General features: G+C 39.7%; 1 protein-coding gene across 6 annotated transcripts in view; it reads left to right on the top strand.

Annotated features, from left to right (window-relative positions):
- The window catches only part of ULK4 (unc-51 like kinase 4), a 715,505-nt gene that overhangs the window by 491,083 nt on the left and 197,595 nt on the right, over positions 1–26,827 (top strand). For all 6 annotated transcript variants that reach the window (NR_136342.2, NM_001322501.2, NM_017886.4 and 3 more), the window contains 2 exons: positions 7,768–7,934; positions 15,426–15,524. Coding sequence is in view for 5 of the 6 variants with exons in the window: in NM_001322501.2 (NP_001309430.1) it covers positions 7,768–7,934; positions 15,426–15,524 (266 nt within the window). In the remaining variant the exon portion in view is untranslated. The remainder of the gene's footprint in view (positions 1–7,767; positions 7,935–15,425; positions 15,525–26,827) is intronic.

Here is a 26,827-nt window from a genome sequence, read left to right as displayed (position 1 = left end):
TGTCTTTTTGTTGGAGAATTTAATCTGTTTACATTCAAGGTAATTATCAATAGGTAAGGACTTCTGTCATTTTATTATTTTCTGGTTGTTTTGCTTCTTTCTTCCTCTCTTGTCTTCCTTTGCAGTTTGATGGTTTTCTATAGTGATATGCTTTGAATCTTTCCTGTTTTTGTTTTGTGTGTCTACTATACATTTTTATTTTGTGATTACCATGAGACTTACATAGAACATCTTATAACAGTCTGTTTCAAGCTGCTAACTTCTTAACTTTGCATACAGCTTTACAGTTTTATTGCCCTTCATTTTATGTTTTTGATATCAGAATTTACATCATTTTGTAATATGCATTTATTAACAGTTTATTTTAGCTGTAGTCATTATTATTAGTTTTTTCCTTGGAACCCTCACACTAGGAGTAAAACCACTTTACATGCCGCAATTAGAGTTCTAAGGTATCCTGAATATGGCTTTGTATTACTTATACCATTGAGTTTTGTGATTTTGTGTGTTTTATGTTATTAGTGGTTTTTTGTTTAACTTAACTCTCTTTAGCCAATCATGTAAGGCAAGCCTAGTGGTGATGAATTCCGTTAGCATTTGTTTGTCTGGGAAAGTTTTTCTTTTTCATTTTGGAAAGACAATTTTATTGGGTAAAATATTCTTGTTTGGCAGCATTTTTTCCTTCAGCCCTTTGAATAAATCATCCCACTCTCTCTTGCCCTGCAGGAATTCTGTTAAGAAATCTACTGACATTGTATTGGGACTCCCTTGGATGTAATGTGTTTCTTGTTGCTGTCAGCATATTAGCATATTTTCTTCATCTTTGATTTTTCATAATTTGATTATGTGTCCTGGTGAACTCTTCTTTTGGTTTACTTTGATTGGAGACCTCTGTGCTTCCTCTACCTGAATGTTGGCATCTATCCCTAAATTAAAAGAAGTTTTCAGCCATTAGTTCCTTTAAAAATACTTTGTTTTTTTTTTTTTTTTTTTTTTTTTTTTCTGTTCTGTTTCTTCTTGAATTCCTCTTATGCATAGGTTAGGTCTCTTAATGGTATTCCATAATCCTTATAGGCTTTTGTCACTCTTATTTATTTACTTATTTATTTATTTGCAGCTCTGATTGGATAATTTCAGATGTTCTATCTTCAAGTTCACTGATTCTTCAGTGTGAGGGAGCCTATGTTGAAGCTTCCTGTTTGTATTTTTCAGTTCAGTATTGTCTCTAGTATTTCTGTTTATAAAATTTGACCCTTTCTTTAGGGTCTATTGTTGGAGCTTTCTTAGTTTCTTTTGGATATATCATGATTTCCTGATTCTTTGTAATTCTTGTGTTCTTGCATTGGTGTTTGTGCAGTTGAGGAGATAGCCATCTTTTTAGGCTTTTAAGGTGTTTTTTTTTTTTTTTTTTTTTTTTTGGCAGGTGTAGGCCTTCACTCTTTCATTTAGCTTTTATTGTAGATGGGCCGGCTTTGATGGCCATGGGCAGGCAGAGCTTGCTTTGGGCTCTCTAGATGGCTGGGCTGCTGCCTTTGCTCTCAATTTTGATGAGGCAGCTGGCTGGGCTCTTCTATCCAGTGAGACCACTGGTTGATCTCTGGAAATACAGTTGGCCCATCATTGGGCTGGGCCACAGGAGTATATTCTTTGGCCAGATAGTTTTACTATTTGAGTTCAGTAGTTGAACAGGGTTGCAGGAGGGGCTGTGATCAGGATGCTAATTGGAATGGCTGGGAGCAGCTGCTATGTTCATTAGAAATTCACAGTTGAGATTTGTCTCTCTGTCTAGGCAGGCTCTTGAGGTGAGCTTTGAAGCTTGACTGAGTGCTGTTTAAACTCCTGGGTGTGATAGATAGAGCCTCTGCTCTTTGTGGAAATTTGCTGTGATGATCGTCTTGCTCCCTGGATGTGAGGCTTTGGGGCAAGGTATGAGGCTGGTCCTGGAGGCTGACTGTGTAGAGATTTAAGCTAGGTAGAACTTTTGATCACTTCTGGAGTGACTAGCTCAGCTTTTCAAGTTGGATGGGCTATTAGCTGGTACCACTGATTGGGCACTACTGCTGACAGGTACACAAAGCTAACACCATATCTATGTCCTGATGGCTTTCTACTACACCTCCTTTCTTTGTTTCTGCCTAATCCCAGTTGGTCTAGTGGTAGCATTTTCCCTTGTGTTCCCCATGATGTAAGATAGGAGTGGGCTTTCTGGAAAGTGCCACAAGATGCTAGAGAAGATGGTTGTCCACCTCTGGTTCTCTTCCCTCTGTAGAAACCCCAGTTCCTGGAGAATCCTCTCTTTGTGGCACTATGCTAACCTCTGGGAGGTGGAAAGGTAGTATAGTCAAAATAAGACCCTTTTATCTTACCCTTTTCATGTGGAAAAGTTCCATAAACCACACAGGTGACTCAGGCTTATTCCCAATTTTGGAGGATTTCATCAGAGTGTTCATATCTGTGGATAGTTGCTGATAGAACTTTCTGTGGAACGTGCGGAAACCTAAGACCTCCTATTCTTCTATAGGAGGTCTATAGACTCCAACTAGACATTCTTGACACCCATTTTCTTTTTAATTCTAGTTATTCCTTGATATCCATTACTTTACATTGTCGTGATTCCTACTGTATTATATTAGCACCTTTGCCTCCATTTCCTCTGTAAATCCTTGCCCCTGTTTGGGACTTACTCGACCCTCAGTCTTTGACTCTGTTTCTCTCTAAATTTGACTGTCCTTTGGGAAATTTTCTGTTCTCTCTGATCATCTTTTGCTTCTTTTTTGTTGTTGTTGTCTTTTAGTTTTAACTGTTACCTAGTTTTTAGGGCTTAATCTCCCTTGAACGTTGGCACTTTGAATGTCCCTTTGTTGTATCAAACTCAGCATATCTTAAAAGTTAACTTAAAATTACCTAGAAACTCACTTCCCCATTTCTTCTAGTGAGAGTATAGTGCCAGGAAAAGAGCAAGTGCTCAGTAAATTCTGCTATTAACCCAGTGAAGACAGCACATACTGCTTTATTTATCTTCCTGAAGCATTTCTCTAGTTTGTCCCAACCTGTTTTTTCTTAACTCTGCATTTTTAAATTTAAGTATATTTTATATGCAGTAAAAGGTACAAATCTTATATTTAGTTTTGAAAAATGCATGCACTGCTATAACCAACACCCCATCAAAGTATAGAACATTTCTGTCACCCTAGAAAGTTCCATCTTCCCCTCTCCTAGAAATAACTTCTGTTCTGACCCCAATCAATAGAGACAAGTTTTCTTTAGAACCTTAAATAAATGTGTTCATACAACTTATTTCATAGAATTCTTTAATTTTTGCAATCTGTCTGTCAGCATTTTTTTTGAGATTCATCTATGTTCTTGTAAAGTTCAGTGTTTGATATTTTTAGTTGCTAAGTGATATTCCACTATATGATTATATCTTAATTTGTTTAGTCTCCTGTTGATGGACACCTGGGCTATTTCTAGTTTGGGGCTTTTTTTGTTTGTTTGTAACAGAGTCGTGCTCTATCACCCAGGCAGGAGTGCAGTGGCACAATCTCAGCTCACTACAACTTCTGCCTCCTGGGTTCAAACGATTCTCCTGCCTCAGCCTCCTGAGTCGCTGGGATTATAGTGTGTGCCACCATGCCCAGCTAATTTTTTGTACTTTTAGTAGAGATGGGTTTTCACCATGTTGGTCAGGCTGGTCTCGAATTCCTGCCTCAAGTGATCTGCCCACCTCGGCCTCCCAAAGTGCTGGAATTACAGGTGTGAGCCACGGTGCCTGGCCGCAGTTTGGAGCTATTTTGAATAAAGCTCTAATTAATCTTTATGTGGACATATGTGTTCATTTTACTTGGATAAATACCTTGGAGTAAGATTTCTGGATAATATGGTAAATGTATATTTAGATTTATTTAAAAATGCCAACTGTTTTTCATCAGTAATATATGTGAGTCCTGGTTGCTGCACATCATTACTAACATTTTGTGTTAGTTTTTTAGATTATAATTATTTATATGTATGTATGGTGATATCCCATTGTGATTTTAATCTGCATTTCCCTGATGATAGTGATATTGAACACTTTTCATATACTTATTGACTGTTATACCTTTTGTGAACTGGCTATTCACATATTTTACCCATTTTTAAAAATTGTATTATTTGTACTTTTATTATCGAGTTGTGGGAATTGTTTGTATATTCTGGATACAGGTTTTTGGACACACACATGCACATATACACACACATATATACACACATACATATATACATGTAGAAAAAGAGAAGAATATTTTTTCCTATTCTTTGGCTTCCTTATTTATTATTTTTTAATAATATCTTTTGATTTGCAAAAGCTTTACTTTTTAATGAAGTCTAATTTATCCATTTTTTAAAGACCAGGTATTTTGGGATCCTAAGAAATCTTGCCTACCTAGTTGCAAAATCTTCTCTTACATTTTCTCCTAGAACCTTTTTAATTTTAGCATGTATGTTTAGATCTATCATTCATCTGAAATTAGTGTTTGTATGTTGTGTGAGGTAATGGTCAAGGATCTCTCTTTTCCCCCCATTTGGATACTCAGTTTTTCCTTACCCTTTTGTTGAAAAGGATTTTTTTCTGAAGAGTTCCTGACTGTGTAATTGTGGGTCTGTTTCTGGAGTCTGGCATTAGAAATATCTGTATGAACTCATTTTTCTTAAAGAGACAGATACTTACTATCTCCGTTTACTGAATCAGTGACTCAGTAGCAATGAACACCCCGAATGCTCAGACCATGGACTCTAAGTACACATTCTCATTGAATGAAACCAGGGCTCCTTGGAGAAGTGTCTAATGCCCAGTCAGAAGCAGGAATTCTATAATATGAACTCAGTGCACATTATTATAGCAGAAGCAAGGATACTTTCAAGGAGCTCTTAGTGGCCAAAGATAGGACATATTGAGCATACAAATGAATAGTGATTGAAATCAATTGAAACCCATAATATATATTATTTAAAAATGCATTATGTTCACAATGGTGCTACAAAATGAATGCATTAGTAACTTTTGGTAGTTTCTATCTTCGTCTACCCTTCCCACTTCACACCTTGGTTATCTTTGGTGGTTGCTAACACTCCAAAATCATTGTTCTGAAACTGGTAAACGACAGGAAAGAATAAACATTTATCTTGCTTTTCCTTTTCAAAATAACAACCCTTGAATCCATGGATCAATTTTAACATAACTAAGACAAATGGTATATCTTTCCAGATAAGATGCAACAGGAAATCCAAAGAACCCAGCCCCAGGTATTACTGCCAAAGGAATTGAACCTGAATTAAATCAAGTCTCTAGGTGCAATTACCAATTTACAGGACATGTAGGGATATAGGAACAGTTCCATGAGAAAATCTACAAGAAAACTGTTCTAATTTATCCAACAAATAAGTGGCATAAAAAATTGTAAGTAGAGGAAGGACTATTAGAAATTAAAGGAGACTTAAGGTCCATGACCAAATGGAATTTATGGAGCTGCTTTGCATCCTGATTCATATAAACTAATTGTAAAAAAATAGTTTTGAGACAGTTGAGTATATAAAAAATACATTGATTTTTAAAAGTGGCAATGGTATTGTAGTTAAAAACGAGTCTTTATCTGTTATACAGAAGTATTTACAGGAGAAATAAGATGTGTTCTGGTATTTGCTTTAAAATGCTTTTCAAAAGACAGGTAAAATAGACACAATATTGATATTGTTGAAAAGGGTAATGAAGGTACATTTTGCTGAACTGTCTCATGACTTTGTTTTCATAATAAAATATTTAAACATGAAAAACATGCATTTTGACCCTGAAGTGAAAGTTCTGGCTATGAAGAACACTGAAAATATGGCTGAGATCAGCTTCTTAAAATCATATTAATGGGTTTTGCTGGCGTTATCACTGTTGTGAAGAAATATTTTTATCTCATACTTCATTTCTAATCTTATCTGAGAACCTTCCCTTGGGAGCTGGTGACTTCAGTGTGTAAAATCAGAGCTTGGCATCTGTTGTCTGTTTTTTACACAGTAGACTGGAAATACTTTCTGTCCCAGCAGGGATTTGATTGCATTCATTCTTTGCACTCCTTCCTTGAAGACTGAATGAAGTTCAAGAAGAACATTGATGCCCACTAACTGTTTACTCTGAAGTAAGCAGTATGTAGATGGGTGCTCTGGGACCCACCTCTGCCTCCTAAAGAACCATATCCTTCTTTGCTGCTCACAGAGCTGGACTCCACCAGTACTTACCCCTTTTACCTTTGACCATCTGTGTGACATGTCACAAAGTCATCAGGAACCCCCAAATGAAAAACCTGTTGTCTTGCAGCGTATGTTTACCAAATACTATGTTTTCAAGCCCTTCTATCTACAGCTCACAGATGCCAAGTGCTGATTCATAGCCTGTACATGGGTGATGCATTGTAACTCTAAGGAGAATGCCTGGTGGTGCAGTGCACATGCTGTAATAATTGCTTTTCTGCACTATGTATCATTGATGATATGGGTTATCAGACCTTGTCATTTGATAAGGAAATTTTGACGGTAATTCATTCTACTTTCAAGTTTGTTTATTTTCAGCCTTGAAACTCAGTTTTGTTTTTGTTTTTATAAGCATCTTAGCAGTTGTGTGAGACTTATGCCTTTTTTTGGCCACAGGAGGTATAACTTTGATGCGTCTGTCATTCTATGTCACTGCCTTTAGTGACAAAATTAGTTCACTTTTGTAATCTGATAATTTTGTGATAATTTCGCATTTGTCAGGAAGACTGGATTGTTTTGCTGGAAGTGACAAGGTGCACTGTATAGAAGAGGTGCCAAAACTTACATGGCTGTGCTTAGCTGAGTTTCCATTCAATTGATGATCTGGAGTAGGGACAAATAGATTGCAGGTCCAGTAAAATATAGCTTTTAATACACATCAGACTTCCTTGCCGTGCTTTTCCCCCATCTGCGTGTGTAAAATATTTATCTTTGAAAATTCACTTTTTTTTTTTTTTTAGAACATCTGAATTTATGCTCTACTGATTCCAAAGTTCTCATTCATCATTTAGGTTTATAACATTATTTCATGTTGTAATTTCACTTTTGTTGTATTTCAATTCAAAGGTTAACACTATATAATAGGATAAAAATGTCAATTTAATGTAAACAATAACACCCCCAAAATGTGAAAATGTATTTATTGTAACAGACTATATCAAACTAAACATCAGTAAAGACCAACCACACTGTTAATATGAGGTTTGCAGAGACAAAGGGATGGCACCTGGTAATTTCTAAATTTCAAATTTCTTATAATTTATCTTACATTTGTGGACTGCATTATGGAAACCACCCAGTTGCTAGATAGAGCAGACCACTGGGTTCACTGTGGCCCTTGATCATGCACTAAAGAAAACTGCCTTCAAACAAGAATCTGGGGACAGTTGTTTTCCTTCAGTGCCAGGGAGTCCTCAGACCCTGTGAAGCCTGCCCATGTAGGATGGTGTTTCTCAAGCTGTGGTTTGGAACCTTTGCATCAAAATCACTTGGGGAACTTCTTTAACAAGTATTTTCCTAAGACACTCTCTGGGAGTGAGGCCTGGAAACCTGCATTTTAAACAACTTTCCTCAGTGAATCTGATAAGAGTATAGTTTAAGTATTGCTTAGGGTTTATGCAACATAGAGCCAGAATGCCTCTCTTTTTGGTTCATATGACACATTTGTGTACTTAATGATGAGGTTTTTTTCTTTTCCTTTTTTACCCTCAGGACTTGTCAGTCACATCTGTAACCTGCTCACTGAAACTGCCACACTGTGCTTGGATGTGGACAATAAAAACAACAATGAGATGGCAGCTCCACTGCTCTTTTCCCTGCTTGATATTTTGCACAGCATGCTGACCTATACCTCCGGTATTGTACGGCTGGCTTTGCAGGTAGAGGATCTGTTTTCCTGTGTCTTGAGCAGCCCTACTCCATTTCATGCTTCCCTTTCATTCTCTTCTTTCTTATCTTCCTCTATTGTGTCTTTACTTATTTAAAAGAATGTATAATTCTATAGAGAGTGTCTTCTGAAGAGTCATCTTTGGGTGACCAATGTCAAGAACAGAGAATTTGATCAAAATCTTCAGGGAAGGAAGGAGAGGCCTACTACTAAGCAAAGACTTAGCAAGCATTAGTTGGGAAACCACTCCTGACCAAGGAGAGCATTTGCCTTAGGCACATCCTAGGTTGGCCAAGTAGTTTGCAGCTTTTCATGTCCTGAGGTGGCTCTCCAGTTCCCCCTCAGCAGGATAGGTCAGCTTTCTAGGAATAATGGATTGAGGGTTTGTGTACATACACATGCATGTGTGTGTTTGTAGACACATATACATACCTATGTAACTCATAAGCTCATTTTCTTTCCCTTATGACTGATACCATGGACTTGTGAGATGGTTTTGAGGAATAGAGGTGTATTCAGTGGCTATGGAAAAAGCCAATTAGCCATAAACTGTAACCTGTATTTACTTAGCATTATGCTGTAAGGCAGGAAGGAGGTGTGGTTTTATAGAGTACTTTCCTATGCCTGTTTTATTTAATGCTCTGTCTAACCGATGGAGTCAGCTGATATTTAGATCAAGTGAAAGTGACAGGGTCAAGGTGAATTTATTGTTACATTTAAAATCCTGATACAATTGCAAGAGATGTATATCAAATGATGGCATCCAAGCTTGGATAGACGCAGAAGCTAAAGTTGAAACCAAACTGTTTTGATACCTTGCCAAAGTCACAGTAGCAGAGCCAAGAATGACTCCCTAGACCCCAGGATAGCCTCTGTTATTCATCATTATGATAAATGATATCTTTTATCCACAGTTAAGCTGGTCAAGTATTTAGCTTGTCTAATATGATTTAATAAATCCAAGATCCCCTCAACAAATATTATTAGTTACTAAGTATTAAACCCAAACTGTAAAGCCAGTAGATTAATTAAAAAGCCATGGCCTTTGAATTACCTAGCTGCTTTTATTAGCTCATTTATAATAATTCCAAATTAACAGTAAATAATTGTTACGTACTTAAATAATTGCTAATTATGTATTTCTCCTATCTTTTCCTCTCCATTCTAGTAAGTTTCTTTTCAGAGAACACAGTTTCTTATTTCAGTTTCCATAGTGGTAGATTTTTGTAATTCTTTGAGATGTAGTTGATAGTTACTTTTACAGGATACCTTGATGACAATCTGTAAAAGATTTTCTTGTAAATTGTAGACAGAAAAAGGATCAGAAGTTAAAAATCTTCAGGATAATAGAAATTCTTTTTTTTACTACAAGTGATTAGGTAGATATTCAGGGATGTTTTGAAAGGAAACTCCTTAATACAAAATATTTTTGAATTTTCTATTTCCAACTTGCTGGTTTCCCAGTAGATCACTGTTTTTTATTGTTTTCATAGTCTTGAACACCACTGTACATTTTACTGCTACCATCTTTCTAAATCATCCCTCATAATATCTGCCATGTATTGCTTTTGGCCTTGACCACTGACTTTGATCTCCATGACACCTGGTGTCAATATGAAGGAGGAGGAGTCCTTGAGGCTGAATTAGGTGGAAGAGTTGGGAAAAGAAATGGAATGTGAATCAAAGACATATCTGCCTTGAAACACTGAGCCATAAGTACTTTCCAAAACCCTAAGTCACCCCTTCCATTTATAGACATACTTCTCACACTGGGGATTCTTCTGCACTTGAAACCTGTATCTATTTCTAATAAGAGCTTCTTAAAAGTAGAAGAATTGAGAGAGGCCAGTGCTTAAAATTATAATAATGCTTAGATTCACAAAGCACTTTTCCAGGGAGGAGAGTGGTATGATGCAAGTATGTGTATGGGGGAGCAAAGGCAGGCACGTGTCAGAATCTCCATCAGAAGTTCAGTCCCTACCCACTACCTTCCCCATGATTTAAAACTGGTCCCTGTTCACCTCTGAATGTTATGTGTGAAAGATAATGGAGGCAGAGACAAAGTGCCTGAGACTCAGTGGTGTGGTGGGGACATGTGGGTTGTGCAGGCTGGAATGCCTTAGATTCAAATCCCAGACACACCAGTATACCACTCCCCACCTCTGTAACCTCGGGCAAGTTACTGCACCTAAGTATCAGTTTCCTCATCTGGAAAGTAGATGTGGTCACCACTCTGCGGGGTGGTTGTGAGACTTCAATGGGAGAATAAAATATATATAATTATATATAGATGTAAAGTGACATACATATACCTGGCCCGGTGAAGGTGACCAATAAGTGGTTACTGTATCATGAACAGCAACAAGAAGAAAGGTGCTTCCTTTTTTGTTTACAGGGGGCCTCCTGTGGGCCATGACTTTCTCATTTCTACATCCCGGTGCATGGAAGAGCACTCAGTTCATATTTACTGACTAACTCCTAGCAGGCTTATGAGTTATTTTGTACTTATGAGCCTAGCATAGGGCTAGGCACCTGTAATTTCAGCAGGAATCAAGGGAGAAAGGGTGTTAGCTCTCAGGAAGCTTACAGTTTAATAGGGAAGACTGTCAACATACAAGTAATGAAGCAAGTCGTCATCTTATTGCATGTGTGAAAATGCAGCAATTGAAAGGTATTACATGCTGCAGAATGAATAATGAGGCAGGGGACCAAACCCAATTTTGAGATTAGGGAGGGCTTTTCTAGGGAAGACAAATATTTATTATTCTAATTCAGGTCACCTGACTTTCCAATCTGGGCCTTGTTTATCCTTTCTGAGGTGGTATGGGGAAGTTTGTTACCTCATCCTCCTGATAGTAGGACCATTAAACTGCTGTTGATTTGCAGATGTGTCAGTATTGTTGAAAGACTGTAATGTGGCTACTGAGTCTTTCTTAGTCCCACATACACATAAAGGCTATGCGTAGTTGGGGGCTATTTTAGGGGGCTGTCTGTTTTTAGCATCTCTTATAATTATCCAACTTGATTCCTTCACGGCCTTCCCCTCGTTGGCCTTCACCATAAACTACCCTCTGCCTGGTTGTTGAATGCGGATGAGATTTTTCTGTCATAGCCCATAGTCCTGATAGTTTCTCCCTTCCTTTGAAAACTTCAGTGACATCTCATTATCTATAACTTACTGACTCCTTGCTGAGACATTCAAAGGCTTATACAGTCGAGCCCCAGGGTACCTTTCCAGCTCATCTGCCTGACCTCCATGCTGCCCATACCCCAATCAGACAGTTGCACTGCCATCTTGTAAGTGGATGCTGTGCTTTGTCACTCCTGTGCCTTTCCTCATGAAATTTCCACATGTGAAATATTTGTACTCCATATGACTTCTAGTAGACCCCGTCCCCACCATCCAAGTGATGAAGTCAATTGTGACATTATCCTACTTCCCTCCTTAACCTAAACTTTATTTCTACCTCTATTATAGCAGTTTTCATATTCTGCCTTAGCACAGTTATTTGGAACTTGTCATCCTTTTAGTTAAACCATGAGATCCTAGATAATGGGGACTGAATCATGTTCATCTTTGCATTGTGAATGTGCAGCATGATCGTGTTTGGGGAGCACAGTAAGTGTTGAATTGAATTGATCCGAGCCGCACCATTGACAGTTATGCTCCACTGTGTGCTAAAACCTGCTGGAGATATAACGACAGGAACTGGGCTGGGCATGGTGACTCATGCTTATAATTCCAGCCCTTTGGGAGAGGCCCAGGTGGGCAGATCACATGTGGTCAGGAGTTCAAGACCAGCCTGGCCAACATGGTGAAATCTTGTCTCTACTAAAAATAAAAAAAATAAAAAAATAAATTAGCCGGGTGTGGTGGCACACACCTGTAGTCCTAGCTACTCGGGAGGCTGAAGCAGGAGAATCATTTGAACCTGGGAGGCGGAGGTTTCAGTGAACCGAGATCACGCCACTGCACTCCAGCCTGGGTGACAGAGCGAGACTCCATCTCAAAAAATAAAAATAAAGGCTGGGCACGGTGGCTGACACCTGTAATCCCAGCACTTTGGGAGGCTGAGGCAGGCAGATCATGAGGTCTGGAGTTTGAGAGCAGCCTGGCCAACATGGTGAAACCCTGTCTCTATTAAAAATATAAAAATTAGCCAGTCATGCTTGCGGGGACCCGTAATCCCAGCCACTTGGGAGGCTGAGGCAGGGGAATTGCTTGAACCCAGGAGGCAGAGGTTGCACTAAGCCGAGATCGTGCCACTGCACTCCAGCCTGGATGAAAGAGAGAGACTGCATCTCAAAAAGATAAATAAGACAGGAACTACTTGAGAAAGTAACTGTCTCTTGTTCTTTATAGATGCCTTACTTCTGTGTATATTTAGCAGACCTCTGTTGATTACCTACTTCTGTGTGCTAGATTTGTGTAGCAATGCTAGATGTAAGAGAACTGTATTATACCTGGCCTTTTTTTTTAATACTAAGAAGCTGTATTCTGTTATCTCACTTTAGGTAATGCTGTATTGCTATTTAATGTTAAATATGGCCCAGAAATTGACAGGCCACCCGCCTCGGCCTCCCAACGTGCTGGAATTACAAGCATGAGCTACCATGCCCAGCTCAGTTCCTGTCTTATATCTCCAGCAGGTTTTAGCACACACTAGAGCATAACTGTCAATGGTGTGGCTCAGATCAATTCAACACTTACTGTGCTCTCCAAACACCATCATGTTGCACGTTCGCAATGTAAAGATGAATATGATTCAGTCCCCATCCTCTAGGATCTCATGGTTTAACTAAAGGATGACAAGTTCCAAAGGAATGTCACCTTCTTTAGTTGGATATGTTTAAGGCTACTAAATGTATGTTTCTACCTAAAGTTCTTCTTTGAAATCCATATTCATATACCTAGCAGCTTGCTCAATATGACCTCTAGAATGCCCCATAGACCAAAGCTGAACTCAGGATCTACCTCCCAAATCCATTTCCCTGCCAGCAAGCCCTGCCCCACTCACCCTGCCACGCAAACCAGAAACCTGGAGGCGTTCTTAAAATTTCCCTCTTTTTTTATATCCCACATCTAATCTGTCACCAAATCATGTAGATTTTACCATAAACATCTAACACATCCAATTGCCTCTCTCAAACCCTGCTGCTATCACCCTAGCCCAGGCTAGCATCCTCTATCGCCTGGGTTATAACAGCTAGGGGATCGCTAGGAGTGGGGTGAGTTCACACACAGCAATGACAAAAGGGAGTGGTTCTGGAAAGGGGTCAGTGGGACCAGAAGCAAAGTCAGAGGACCTGGATGGAGCAGACAGTCATGATGTTGTGACAGGGACACGGGCCCTGTACAAGATGCACACAAAGGGTGGCAAATCCAGGAGTTAGGAGGCTGACATGAGGGAGTCTGATGTTGGGAAATTGGAGAGAGGCTGAGAGGCAAGGCAGGCCTGGGCCTTTGCATTTGATTCTGGGGGCTTCAGTGTTTATTGCTGCATCCAGGCAGGTGTCCTTTTGTTGCACAGAGCTTCCTTTGTGGGCCAGTACTTTTGTGGGGAGAGTGGAATTTCTAATGTCTTTCTTTTGTGCCACCTCTCTGTTGTGCAAAGCTGTAGCCTTCTCTTTCTTCTGGAACTCTTGGCAACTTTGCAAGGAGGTGGCCACATGAATACTGGTAGGCTGGGTCGATGTTTCTTGGCGACTATGACGTATGACTATGCAGATCTTGGAGGATCTGGAGGACCATGGGACATCCTGGTGGAAAAAGTCCTACAGTGTTTCTTGTACTGTGGCCCCATTCCCTTGCTTGTGTGTGTTTGGAAAGGAGGCACCGTACCCCTCACTGCTGCCTCATTGCTGATTTGCAAGACTGCCTTATCTCTCCCAGGAAGAAATCAATCTGCTCTAAGGGATAATGTGGTAATGTGGAAAGGCTAATATTCCATGTCAGATAATGTTTCAGAGGGCAAGGGATCAACGGCCAAGATTCAGAAAGGTTCAGACCTCTTGGATAGTGCCGCACATTTGTTTCCTGACAGGAAATTCTCCATTTCCGATAAAGTTAGTCAGGGAAGTGAGAGGGAAGCTCCGAGCTAATGATGACCCTTGTTCTCCTTATCTTTTGAGATGTGCAAGTTGTTAAAAACAGGTGTCCGATTTTCAGTCAAGTTCTTCTGAACCAAAGAAAACAGGCAACTGAAATTCTGTCCATAGGCCAGAAGTGCAGAAGGAAACTAGGCATTTATGAGAAGGGTCCTGGAGTCCAGGTTAATGACTTAAGGCAGGGCAGCCTGTGGCCTGCTCTGTTAGCTCTGGCAAAGGTCATTATTGAAAAGTGGTTTTGTTTCTTCTGAGTAAACGTAAAAACAGAGAGGAAGGGCGTCTACATATTATAGCAAATGGAAAAAATAATCCATACCATTTTTTAATATAAAATTATTCATCTCTATGATAGAAATCTCCTTTGGAATTAGACAGTTCTATAAAACCCCTGCGAGAAGACACACAATGTAAAAACCACTCACTCATTTATTTTCATTGCCATTTAAGTCTAAACATTCATAGGAATATCTACCTGTATTTGAAGCCTATTCATGCAATGATATGTTGGACAAATATTTTAGATGTTATTTGAGCATATGTATGCATATAGAGAAGGAAAGCATAGCAGAATGCACTTGGTATGTATCATGTGCATAAATATGCTCAGAGGAGATTAGCATTTGTGACTTGGAGTCAGCCTGGGTTTGGTCCTCTGGCTTTGTCACTCCTTAACTGTGAGATGTTAGACAAACTACCCAGCTTCTCTAAAGTTCAGTTTTCTTCAGCACCTAGTCTCAGGATGGTTAAGATAAAGCACTTTTGGCTGGGCGCGGTGGCTCACATCTGCAATGCCAGCATTTTGGGAGTCTGTGATGGGTGGATCACGTGAGGTCAGGAGTTAGAGACCTGCCTGGCCAACATGGCAAAACCCCGTCTCTACTAAAAATACAAAAACTAGCGAGGTGTGGTGGCAAGAGCCTGTAATCTTAGCTACTCAGGAGGCTGAGTCAGGAGAATCGCTTGAACCCAGGAGGCAGAGGTTGCAGTGAGCTGAGATTGTGCCACTGCACAACAGCCTGGGTGACAGAGGGAGACTCCAACTCAAAAAGAAAAAAAAGATTAAGCGCTTCCTCACTGCAATATATGGGACATCACCATTATTCCTCCATTAGCAACCTTTGTAATTGCTTTATCTATGTGCTGTCCAGGTCAGCCTCTGTAGCCTGAGCTGGTGGCAGTGGCAATATCTACACTCCTTGTTATGTCATAACAAAGCATAGTATCTCTTCTGGGGCCTCCATCTATTCCATCCTTGGGAACTGAGGTAGAATGCTTCCTCAGCCCCTTGTGTCTGCCCGATGGAGTGGTCCTGTTTCCTTTGGCCAAGCTGACTAATCACCAAGACCGTCTTTCATTTCTCTTCTCTCTGTTCCAGGCCCAGAAGTCTGGCTCAGGAGAGGACCCTCAGGCTGCAGAAGACCTGCTGCTGCTCAACAGACCTCTGACAGACCTGATTAGCCTGCTCATTCCACTGGTAAGAGCTCACCTGTATGTCTTTTGGGGCATTACTGAAGTTGAAGTAATTTTATTTGAATTTCCTGATCTCTTGAGTTTCTATGTTATTTTTATTCCCTTCAAAACTAGAGCCAAAAGAACTTTCAGAAGATTATTTGGCCTGGAAAACTAAATCTCTACTTTATTTTAAAACCAGGTGGCTTATTCATTTAAATAGATATTTAGGTAAGGCAAAATCTCAAATCTAATTACTTTCTTAACAAATGCGAGGTAAAAAATTCAACAAATGAATTCTAAGAGGAAAGAAGAAATTGCTATGGGAATCAATTTCTTCTCAAAAAGATATTTTAGAGTTTGACTTGGCATGCAGGACTTCCCCAGAAATGCAAAAGCACAGACACAGACCTAGGGCCCACCCCCTCAATCTCAATAGAAATGGAATGAAATAAGCAAAATTAAATAAAAACAGGTAAGACTATACACGACCATTGAATATACAAAAAGAGCTCAACAGAAATTCAGAGTTTGGACGTATTAAACAGTTTTAGCCTAGCACTTTGGGAAACCAAGGTGAGTGGATCATTTGAATCAGGTGTTCGAGACCAGCCTGACCAGTATGGTGAAACCCCGTCTCTACTAAAAATACAAAAAAAAAATTAGCCAGGCGTGGTGGTGTTCACCTGTAATTCCAGCTACTCGGGAGGCTGAGTCAGGAGAATCACTTGAACCCAGGAGGCAGAGGTTGCAGTGAACCAAGATCGTGCCACTTCACTCCAGCCTGGGTGAAAAAGCGAGACTCCATCTCAAAAAATTAAAAATTAAGAAAACTGTTTTAAACATATAATTTCACTGTCTACAAAACGTCCCAGTCTTTTAAAATCAAATTATTGTTCCTAATTAATTTTAACTTTATATTTTTGCCAATTAATTCTATCATCTTTTTTTCTTTTCTTTTCTTTCTTTTTTTTTTTTTTTTGAGATGAAGTCTTGCTCTCTTGCCCAGGCTGGAGTGAAGTGGCATGATCTCAGCTCACTGCAGCATCCGCCTACCAGGTTCAAGCAATTCTCCTGCCTCAGCCTCCCAAGTAGCTGGGATTACAGGTGCCCACCACCACGCCCAGCTAATTTTTGCATTTTTAATAGAGACAGGGTTTCACCATATTGTCCAGGCCGGTCTCAAATTCCTGGCTTCAAGTGATCCGCCTGCCTTGGCCTCCCAAATTGCTGGGATTACAGGTGTGAGCCACCACGCCTGGCCTAATTTTATCATCTTTCTAGTTAAGAACATCTAGTTGCCCTTTCTTAAATGGAATTTTTCTTTTTTCTTTTTTTTTTTTTAATTATACTTTAAGTTCTAGGGTACATGTGCACAATGTGCAGGTTTGTTACATATGTATACATGTGCCATGTTGGTGTGCTGCACCCATTAAGTCATCATTTACATTAGGTATATCTCCTAATGCTATCCCTCCCCCCTCCCCCCACCCCATGACAGGCCCCAGTGTGTGGTGTTCCCCTTCCTGTATCCAAGTGTTCTCATTGTTCAATTCCCACCTATGAGTGAGAACATGTGGTGTTTGGTTTTTTGTCCCTGTGATAGTTTGCTGAGAATGATGGTTTCCAGCTTCATCCATGTCCCTACAAAGGACATGAACTCATCCTTTTTTATGGCTGCATAGTATTCCTTAAATGGAATTTTTCTATGATATCCATGTTCCATGGAATTATAAGTTAGAAATTACATGGAAGATGAAATATAAGAAATAAAGTGAACAATAACAATAATAATGCAAGACCGTATTGCATGCAGAGTTCATGGGCATGGGCTCAATTTAGCTCTGCCACTTACCAGCTGTGTGACTTTGGATAGATATTAACTAACAATATTTGTTACTTAATTTATTGATGCCACAGTTTCTTCATCTGTAAAATGAAGTTAGTAATGCTAATGAGATCATGAAGTTATTTTGAGGATTAAATGAACAGGACCTGGCATATAGTATGTGTTCAACAAATATAGCTATGTAAAAATTGATACAGGCCAGGTGTGGTGGCTCATGCCTGTAATACTGGCACTTTGGGTGGTCGAGATGGGAGAATCGATTGGGTCCTGGCATTTGAGACTAGCCTAGGCAACATAGCAGGACTCCGTCTCTACAAAAATGTTTAAAATTTGGCCAGGTGTGGTGGTGCACACCTGTAGTTCTAGCTACTTGGGAGGCTGAGGCTTGAGGATTGCTTGAGCCCAGGAGTGTGAGGCGGCAGCCAGCAATGATGACACCACTGCACTCTAGCCTGGGCAAAAGAGTGAAAGAGTGAGACCCTGTCTCAAAAAAACAAAAAACAAAAAAACGCAATTTCACCACTGTTAACCAGTGCTGACAATGAGCTAGATTCTATTAGTGCTTTACCTTTGATCTTACTTAGCCCTTCTTTCCTTATGACATAGGCCCATCCTTGCCTTCCACATAAGTACCCCAAAGCTTACAAAGGATAAAAATACAAGAGAGCTCAGTGTCTGAACTGAGTGTACATTTTCCCTACCACCGTTCTCCTTGGCCTCTGGATTAACTGCGAACACGTTAAACTCTTAACTTTATTCCATGTTTGGGAATAGTCTCACTGAAATACAATGTTTTGATTCAAAAGCCATTCTGTTTTGGCTGTTTTTAAGTTTTGGAGGTCTTTATGAATGGAAGATATTCTTAGCTCGAACATGGAGTCATTTCCAGATGCATTTTTCATAGTTTAAGATGTTCTGAATGGAGGCTACTTTTTGCCTTTTCATCCTAAGGATGATAACCTTTTTGTCCATTTATGACAAACACATAAATGGACAAAAATGCTTGTAGACTTCACAAAGCATTTTTGTTTAAGAAGCACAAAATATTTTACACTTCTGTTTTATGTAGTTATATCTAATTACTTAGCAGAGTTAATTAGGAAATAGAAATGATTATGTCTTCAAAATGTGAGGAACACCAACACAGAGTGGCTCTGATGAACCTGGGTTTGCTTACACTCCTTGTAAGAGCTGCCCTGATTACACTGTTTAATTGCTGGGTTTGAGTGATTGGATTTAACTCTCAGTGGAAAGAGAGTAGATACTCCCATCTCCTCTCCTGGAGGAATCTGCTTCTTTCAGAATTGTTTGTTGAACAGGCGTCTATTCCAGATAATCTAATCTAACAACCCAAATACTGTAGGCCCTAATGAAAAATCCCTGGATGGAGCAGTAGATGAAACTTGAAATGCAGACTTAATTCTCTACCCTGGAGTGGCCTAGGTGCTGCCTAGGGAGCTTTCTGGAGGTTCTGATGTAGATGAAGAGCAGATAACCAGGAACTTGGAGCAGATAGATGGCTCTGTGTAGGCCACAGAGGTCTATTAAATACGGCAGTATGCATCTACCAAGATCAAAATCAGAAGATTCCCCACAAGGCTGGCTTTAGGAATTCCAGTAATCAGGGAGGAAGGTGAGTATAGAACATTAAATGTGAAATGGTAGTTTTTGTTGGTATTTGAGGATTTTGCATTTAAATATTTATTAGCATGCTTTATGTATTCTTCTCTCACTATTCTTTTTCTGTTTTTTATAAAATTTAAACACAAGAGGGTACCACCTTGGGCTCTAAATTTAGGCTGACACCTTCCGTTTTTGATTCCTTGATATTACATTGAATCACATAAAATTGCCAATATCCGACCATTTGAGGCCTACAAAAGTAGCAGTTTCATTTGGTTCAACCTTATATTAGGAATATGACAATTTATTAGTCTGTACTACCAATAGTTCCTGAAATTCATATAGCACTTTTTTTCTACGTGGTGCTATCCCCCAATTACTTGAATTGGAATATCATACGATTCTGGCCAGAGGTTGCCAGGAGCTGTGGATTTTGAGTCAGAAATCCAAGACTGAATGTCTGGTTCTGCTGCTGCCCAGCTGTGTGATCTTGGATGGGGCACTCTTTGTCTCTGAGCCTGAGGATTAAATGAGATGATACCTGGGAGAAATGATCAACTGTCATTTCTCGAAAATTTCCCCTTTGATCACATATTATGTCTGATTTTTAGCCTTATCCTCTGCTTGCTATGATTTGTTGGAATAGTCCCTCCTGCCCTCATAAAGTGCTTCTTTTGTCTCTCTCACCCAGCCAACCTCCAATGCTACCCCTCTGCTCAGTTTAGGATTCTTTACAAGACGATTCTTGGAACCTTCTTTATAGACATCCTCCCTTGTGTTTGTAAGTCCCTCCCAAAGGCCCCCTCTTGTTCCCTGCTTATTTCCAGATGTCTTCTGGTTTCTTACCTTGAATATTTACATATGTAAAAGCACAGGGTCCAGTTTCCTTGAATACTATCCACTGCTTAGAGGTTTTCCCGCCTTTCTCCTGGAATTCTGCTGGAGCTGCAGCTTTCACTGTCCTGCTTAGAGCCCTGCAGCCCAATGGTGATGCCACCCAGTGTTCAGGGCAGGTGATTACCCAAGGAATAAAATTGTCCTCTGAGAGGTTTTTCTCAGCTCTTTGTGACACTGCGCTCCAGTTACTTGTAACTTGATCACAGTTAGGTTCTAGTATATTGGCTAGATGTATGCATGATGTGTGTAGGCTGCATTGTGTACAATATATACACATTTATCATTGGAACCATTACGTATAAAAATGGCCTGTGACAAGAACACTGCCATATGTCTTCTCTGGAAAAGATTAACACACATTTATAGCTGTGTATAAAGTGAAGAAAAGTAGTAATAAGGCTATTGAGGACCTAAACTAGAGCACATACAGACCAAAGATAAATTTTACAGTGGTTGATAAAAAATGTAATAGGTTACAGAATGAGGTGCTGGAATTGCTTTCCCGTAGGGAAAAATAAACACACTTTCAGTTTTCATCTGACTTGGATAATTTTGGAAGCACTTGGCCTAAAGGCAACAGAATGAACTTGTTAGCTTTTGAGGTTTTTTCCAGATATGGTCCTATGAAAGTAAACCTACTTATCCTTAAGAGAATATGAAACCTGTCAACCTATAATTTATGACCTATATTTATAATATACACTGTAGGAGAGCCATAGTGAAATGTTTATATAAGACAGTGATTCTAAGTCTGTTTTGACAATCTGATTATTCTTGATTCTCTTACCATAAAAATGCCTAGACTTGCTTATGTGCAGAGTTCACGCAGTTCTCAATTTCAGGGGGAACTTCAAACCCTCAGTTGGTAACCATAGTATAAGATATGGCTAATATAGGATATAATAAGTTGACTGTCTCCTGAAGGAAAGATAAAGCAAGGTGCTTATTTGACCAAAGTGTTTTATTCCTGAAAGAAAGAAAATGAGAAGCCAAAGTATATATTCTAGATAAGTTTTTAAACTAGATAGTTAACTATGATAAGAAATGATGCTACAGCCTGCTTGTCCCTTAATTAAAATAGATATTTCCTATGGTATTATTTTAAAAATATTCTTTATTATATATCAAAGGTGCCAGTATTTAGACTAATTTATATTGTTCTGTTTATTTCACATGAATCATGTGTGCCTTTTTTGGCCACTGAAAAGATGGTCCTTGACAGTCCATTTAGGACCCAGTCCTCAACTTGTATCAGTGTGGCTATACTAGATAACTGGGAGACCAAGCTGTCGCCTGAACATCTGATGATTCTTATCAATTCATGTTTCTGAGATCACTGTGCCAGTTTTAAAAAAAAGTAAATTAACATAAAAATAAATTAAAAATAAAACACAATGTAGAAAAAGTTCATTTCTGTTTTCCATTTTTATTACTAAATTTCTTCCTTTCACAAAGTACATGAGCAGATTTTTCTTTTCAAATGGTGGTGGACTTGTACTTGCCTGTTCTCCTTCTGTTTCCTGCTGACTTCACAGTCAGTGGCATGAAATACAGGTAATGCTTTATGGTGATTATGGTTTATGGTGATGGAGCCCAGGGGTAGTAGTAGTCTTTTTGCAAGTCAAACCCAAGAGATTGGGGATTTTATTAGTTCTATACTAAGCAGCTCCTCTAAGGAGTCAGTACTCCATTTAAAGATGATACCCCTCTTTCTGAGTAGCCACCGCCCATCTGCCTTCTGGACATTTCCACTGGATACGCCATAAGTACCTCAGATTCAACAGGGTTAAAACAAACTCATAAGTACCTCCTGAAAACTGTTCCTACTTTAGAAGGCCAAGGCAAGAGGATCGCTTGAGCCCAGGAGTTCAAGACCAGCCTGGGCAACATAGTGAGACCTGGTCTCTAAAAAAAAAATTTTTAAATAAAACTTGGGGCCGGGCATGGTGGCTCACAACTGTAATCCCAGCACTTTGGGAGGCTGAGGTGGGCAGATCACTTGAGGTCAGGAGTTTGAGACCAGCCTGGCCAGTATGGTGAAACCCTGTATCTACTAAAAATACAAAAATTAACCAGGCATGGTGGCGCATGCCTGTAGTCCCAACTACTTGGGAGACTGAGGCAGGAGAATTGCTTGAAACCAGGAGGCAGAGGTTGCAGTGAGCCGAGAAACCAGGAGGCGGAGGTTGCAGTGAGCTGAGATGGTGCCGTTGCACTCCAGCCTGGGTGACAGAGTGAGACTCCATCTTGAAAAAATAAAATAATAAAAATAAAACTGTTCCTCCTTTTGTGCTTTGTCTGTCAGTGAATGAAACTAACTTCCACTCAATTGCCCAAGCCAAGAACGTGGACATCATTCTTGTCTTTTCCTTCGCCATCCTGCCCCGTTTCATCAAGCCCTGGCAGTTCTGCCACCCAAACACATCACACATCACACGTTACAGACTGCCATTTTCTCCTCGTTGCCATGAGCACTATCATGAAGGTCACCACCATCCTCCTGCCCTTACAGGACCACAGGAGCCTTCCACCTGGATTCTCTGCCTGTTCTTGCTCCCTCTACTGTCTTCTCCATGGTACAGTCAGAGTGTTCTTTCCAAAATACAAAACTCATCCTGTCATGCATTGACTTAATAAACTCTAACTTCTGAACAGGCTTACAAAATCATAGATAATTGGACCCTTTCTTATGTTTCTAGCACTTTCTCTTGGTTTTTCTAGTCATATTCTATGTTCTGTGCACCAACTCTTTTCAGTTCTTTAAACATGCCTTGATTTCCCTTAGCTCATTCTCCTTTCATTTTGCTGACTTTTCCTTGGCTTTCAGGTCTTGGCTTCATTGTCACTTACTTTAGGAAGCTGGTTACACCCACGAAAACTGGTTTAGCGTGCCTCAGACCCCGGCTCCCATAGCATCCCCAGCCTCCTAGTCCTAACACTTCCTGTTACCTGGTACCAAAAACACTTGTTTATGTCTCTGTCCCTCCCACTAAGCTGTAAACCCTAGGAAGGCAGGAGCCATATCGGTTTGCTTCACTTTGGGGCCTGTTACAGAGAAGGGATTTAATTATATTTGTGTAGGAAAGGAAGTAAAGAGCTAGCAAATGTAGCATAGACTAAGTCTGGTAAGACATAGATTCAAGTACAAATTTATTCAGAGAATTTGTCCGCAGCACTCCTGCTGTCCTGCCTGGCCTCTAGTAGGAGGTGGTGGTGGTGATGGCTCACTGGCTCGGCTCGCTTGCTTTAAAATTGCATCATTTAGACTTCTCTCTAGAAGTTGCCCTCTTCTTAGCAGGGTTAGCCCTGACATTCATTGGGCAGCCTGTGTTTCTGAAACAACCCAAACCCTATCTTTGATTGACAAGAAAGGATCCAAAAGGGCAGATGACATTAACCAGGGACCCATGTATTTCTGGAAAATTGCTGTGCTTATAGCCACCGCAATACATAAAAACCGAGCCCTAGGATCCCGGCAGCATTGGTGAGCACGAAGCCTCTGAGCAGTCAAAATAGATGCCACAGCATCATTACCCTTTTCTAACAGGAAAGTCCCCAGGGCTCTGACATTCAATGTTTAGATTTGTCTAGCTTTAGGGAAGAAAGGCCCCGGAACTGCAGATCTGCTTTCTCCCATTACTTTTTATGCCTTTGTCTTGAGTGGCTGTCATGTAGCAATATGTTTTTTTAATGGCATTTTGTTATTGGCCAAGGCTGCCTGCTCTAGGTTGAGTAAAAAAACATGCATTTATGTGGCGGGATATGAGGTGTGCCAGAAAAGAGCTCCTCCAGAAAGTCATTCTCACCCATGATGATCCACACTCCAGCATTCTCCTGTCTTCTTTTCAAGCCCTCTTTCAGAAGTAATGCTTTAATATGAATACATTTCACTGAAAGAACAAGACTAGGGCAATGGGACAGACCGATAGGCGAGAGATGGGAGTTAGAGAGGTTGAAGAAAGAATTGAATGTGGAACTGTGAAACGTGGGTCATGCCAAAAGCAAAGTCTAGCTAATTAAAAGGTTTTTAAAGGTGTCTTGTCTTTTTTTTTTTTTTTTTTTTTTTTTTGAGACAGAGTCTCGCTCTGTCACCCGGGCTGGAGTGCAGTGGTGCCATCTCGGCTAACTGCAACCTCCACCTCCCGGGTTCAAGCAATTCTCCTGCCTCAACCTCCCAAGTAGCTAGGATTACAGGCACACGCCACCATGCCCGGCTAATTTTTTTTTTGGTACGTTTTTATTTTTATTTTATTTTATTTTTATTTCTATTCTTTTATTATGCTTTAAGTTTTATGGTACATGTGCACAACGTACAGGTTTGTTACATATATATACATGTGCCATGTTGGTGTGCTGCACCCATTAACTCATCATTTAACATTAGGTATATCTCCTAATGCTATCCCTCCACCCTCCCCCCACCCCACAACAGGCCCCGGTGTGTGATATTCCCCTTCCTGTGTCCATGTGTTCTCATTGTTCAATTCACACCCATCAGTGAGAACTTGCGGTGTTTGTTTTTTTTGTCCCTGCGATAGTTTGCTGAGAATGATGGTTTCCAGCTTCATCCATGTCCCTACAAAGGACATGAACTCATCCTTTTTTATGGCTGCATAGTATTCCATGGTGTATATGTGCCACATTTTCTTAATACAGTCTATCATTGTTAGACATTTGGCTTGGTTCCAAGTCTTTGCTATTGTGAATAGTGCCTCAGTAAACATATGTGTGCATGTGTCTTTATGGCAGCATGATTTATAATCCTTTGGGTATATACCCAGTAAAGGGATGGCTGGGTCAAATGGTATTTCTAGTTCTAGATCCCTGAGGAATCGCCACACTGACTTCCACAATGGTTGAACTAGTTTACATTCCCACCAACAGTGTAAAAATGTTCCTATTTCTCCACATCCTCTTCGGCACCTGTTGTTTCCTGACTTTTTAATGATTGCCATTCTAACTGGTGTGAGATGGTATCTCATTGTGGTTTTGATTTGCATTTCTCTGATGGCCAGTGATGATGAGCATTTTTTTCATGTGTGTTTTGGCTGCATAAATGTCTTCTTTTGAGAAGTGTCTGTTCATATCCTTCTCCCACTTTTTGATGGGGTTGTTTGTTTTTTTCTTGTAAATTTGTTTGAGTTCATTGTAGATTCTTGATATTAGCCCTTTGTCAGATGAGTAGGTTGCGAAAATTTTCTCCCATTTTGTAGGTTGCCTGTTCACTCTGATGGTGGTTTCTTTTGCTGTGCAGAAGCTCTTTAGTTTAATGAGATCCCATTTGTCAATTTTGTCTTTTGTTGCCATTGCTTTTGGTGTTTTAGACATGAAGTCCTTGCCCATGCCTATGTCCTGAATGGTATTGCCTAGGTTTTCTTCTAGGGTTTTTATGGTTTTAGGTCTAACATGTAAGTCTTTAATCCATCTTGAATTAATTTTTGTGTAAGGTGTAAGGAAGGGATCCAGTTTCAGCTTTCTCCATATGGCTAGCCAGTTTCCCCAGCACCATTTATTAAATAGGGGATCCTTTCCCCATTTCTTGTTTTTGTCAGGTTTGTCAAAGATCAGATGGTTGTAGATATGCGGCATTATTTCTGAGGGCTCTGTTCTGTTCCATTGATCTATATCTCTGTTTTGGTACCAGTACCATGCTGTTTTGGTTACTGTAGCCTTGTAGCATAGTTTGAAGTCAGGTAGCATGATGCCTCCAGCTTTGTTCTTTTGGCTTAGGATTGACTTGGCGATGCAGGCTCTTTTTTGGTTCCATATGAACTTGAAAGTTGTTTTTTCCAATTCTGTGAAGAAAGTCATTGGTAGCTTGATGGGGATGGCATTGAATCTATAAATTACCTTGGGCAGTATGGCCATTTTCACGATATTGATTCTTCCTACCCATGAGCATGGAATGTTCTTCCATTTGTTTGTATCCTTTTTTATTTCCTTGAGCAGTGGTTTGTAGTTCTCCTTGAAGAGGTCCTTCACATCCCTTGTAAGTTGGATTCCTAAGTATTTTATCCTTTTTGAAGCAATTGTGAATGGGAGTTCACTCCTGATTTGGCTCTCTGTTTGTCTGTTATTGGTGTATAAGAATGCTTGTGATTTTTGCACATTGATTTTGTATCCTGAGACTTCGCTGAGGTTGCTTATCAGCTTAAGGAGATTTTGGGCTGAGACAATGGGGTTTTCTAGATATACAATCATGTCATCTTCAAACAGGGACAATTTGAATTCCTCTTTTCTTAATTGAATACCCTTTATTTCTTTCTCCTGCCTGATTGCCCTGGCCAGAACTTCCAACACTATGTTGAATAGGAGTGGTGAGATTGTATCTTTTTAAAGTAGAGATGGGATTTCACCATACTGGCCAGGTTGATCTCAAACTCCTGACTTTGTGATCCGTCCACCTCGGCCTTTCAAAGTGCTGGGATTACAGATGTGAGCCACCGCGCCTGGCCATTTTATTTTCTTGCCTTGATTTTTAAATGTAGGATAAGAATACTTTTGCATAATTAATGGTTAAGTTTTTATGTGCATCAATGAGGAAATTGAGTCTTAATAATTAGACTCTAATAACCAAATCTCAAGGTTAGATATTAGAACCAGGTAAAAACACACCAGAATTTTAGTATAACATTATATTTATACATCTCACTGATGTGAGAATTGGGCAGAATGGTAATAACTGATGGTCTTTTGAGTTCCACAACTTATAACAAATTCATTATGAGACATAGTATCTGTAAGGAGATTATATATATACAGAGAGAGAGAGAGAGAGAGAGAGAGAGAGAAGTCACTTAAATCATTTAGAAAGAGATACCCCCAAGAGAAAAGTGGTCAAAAGAATTAAGCAGGTAATTCACAACAGCAGAAATACAAATGCCCAATGTTAATTTCACCAAACACATAAGTTCATTAGTAATAAGGGAAAATTAAATGAGAAAAAAATGAAATGCAAG

The sequence above is a fragment of the Homo sapiens genome, chromosome 3 (genome assembly GCF_000001405.40).
Source record: "Homo sapiens chromosome 3, GRCh38.p14 Primary Assembly".
Classification (NCBI taxonomy): domain Eukaryota; kingdom Metazoa; phylum Chordata; class Mammalia; order Primates; family Hominidae; genus Homo; species Homo sapiens.
This window is presented reverse-complemented; position numbering and strand designations above follow the sequence as displayed.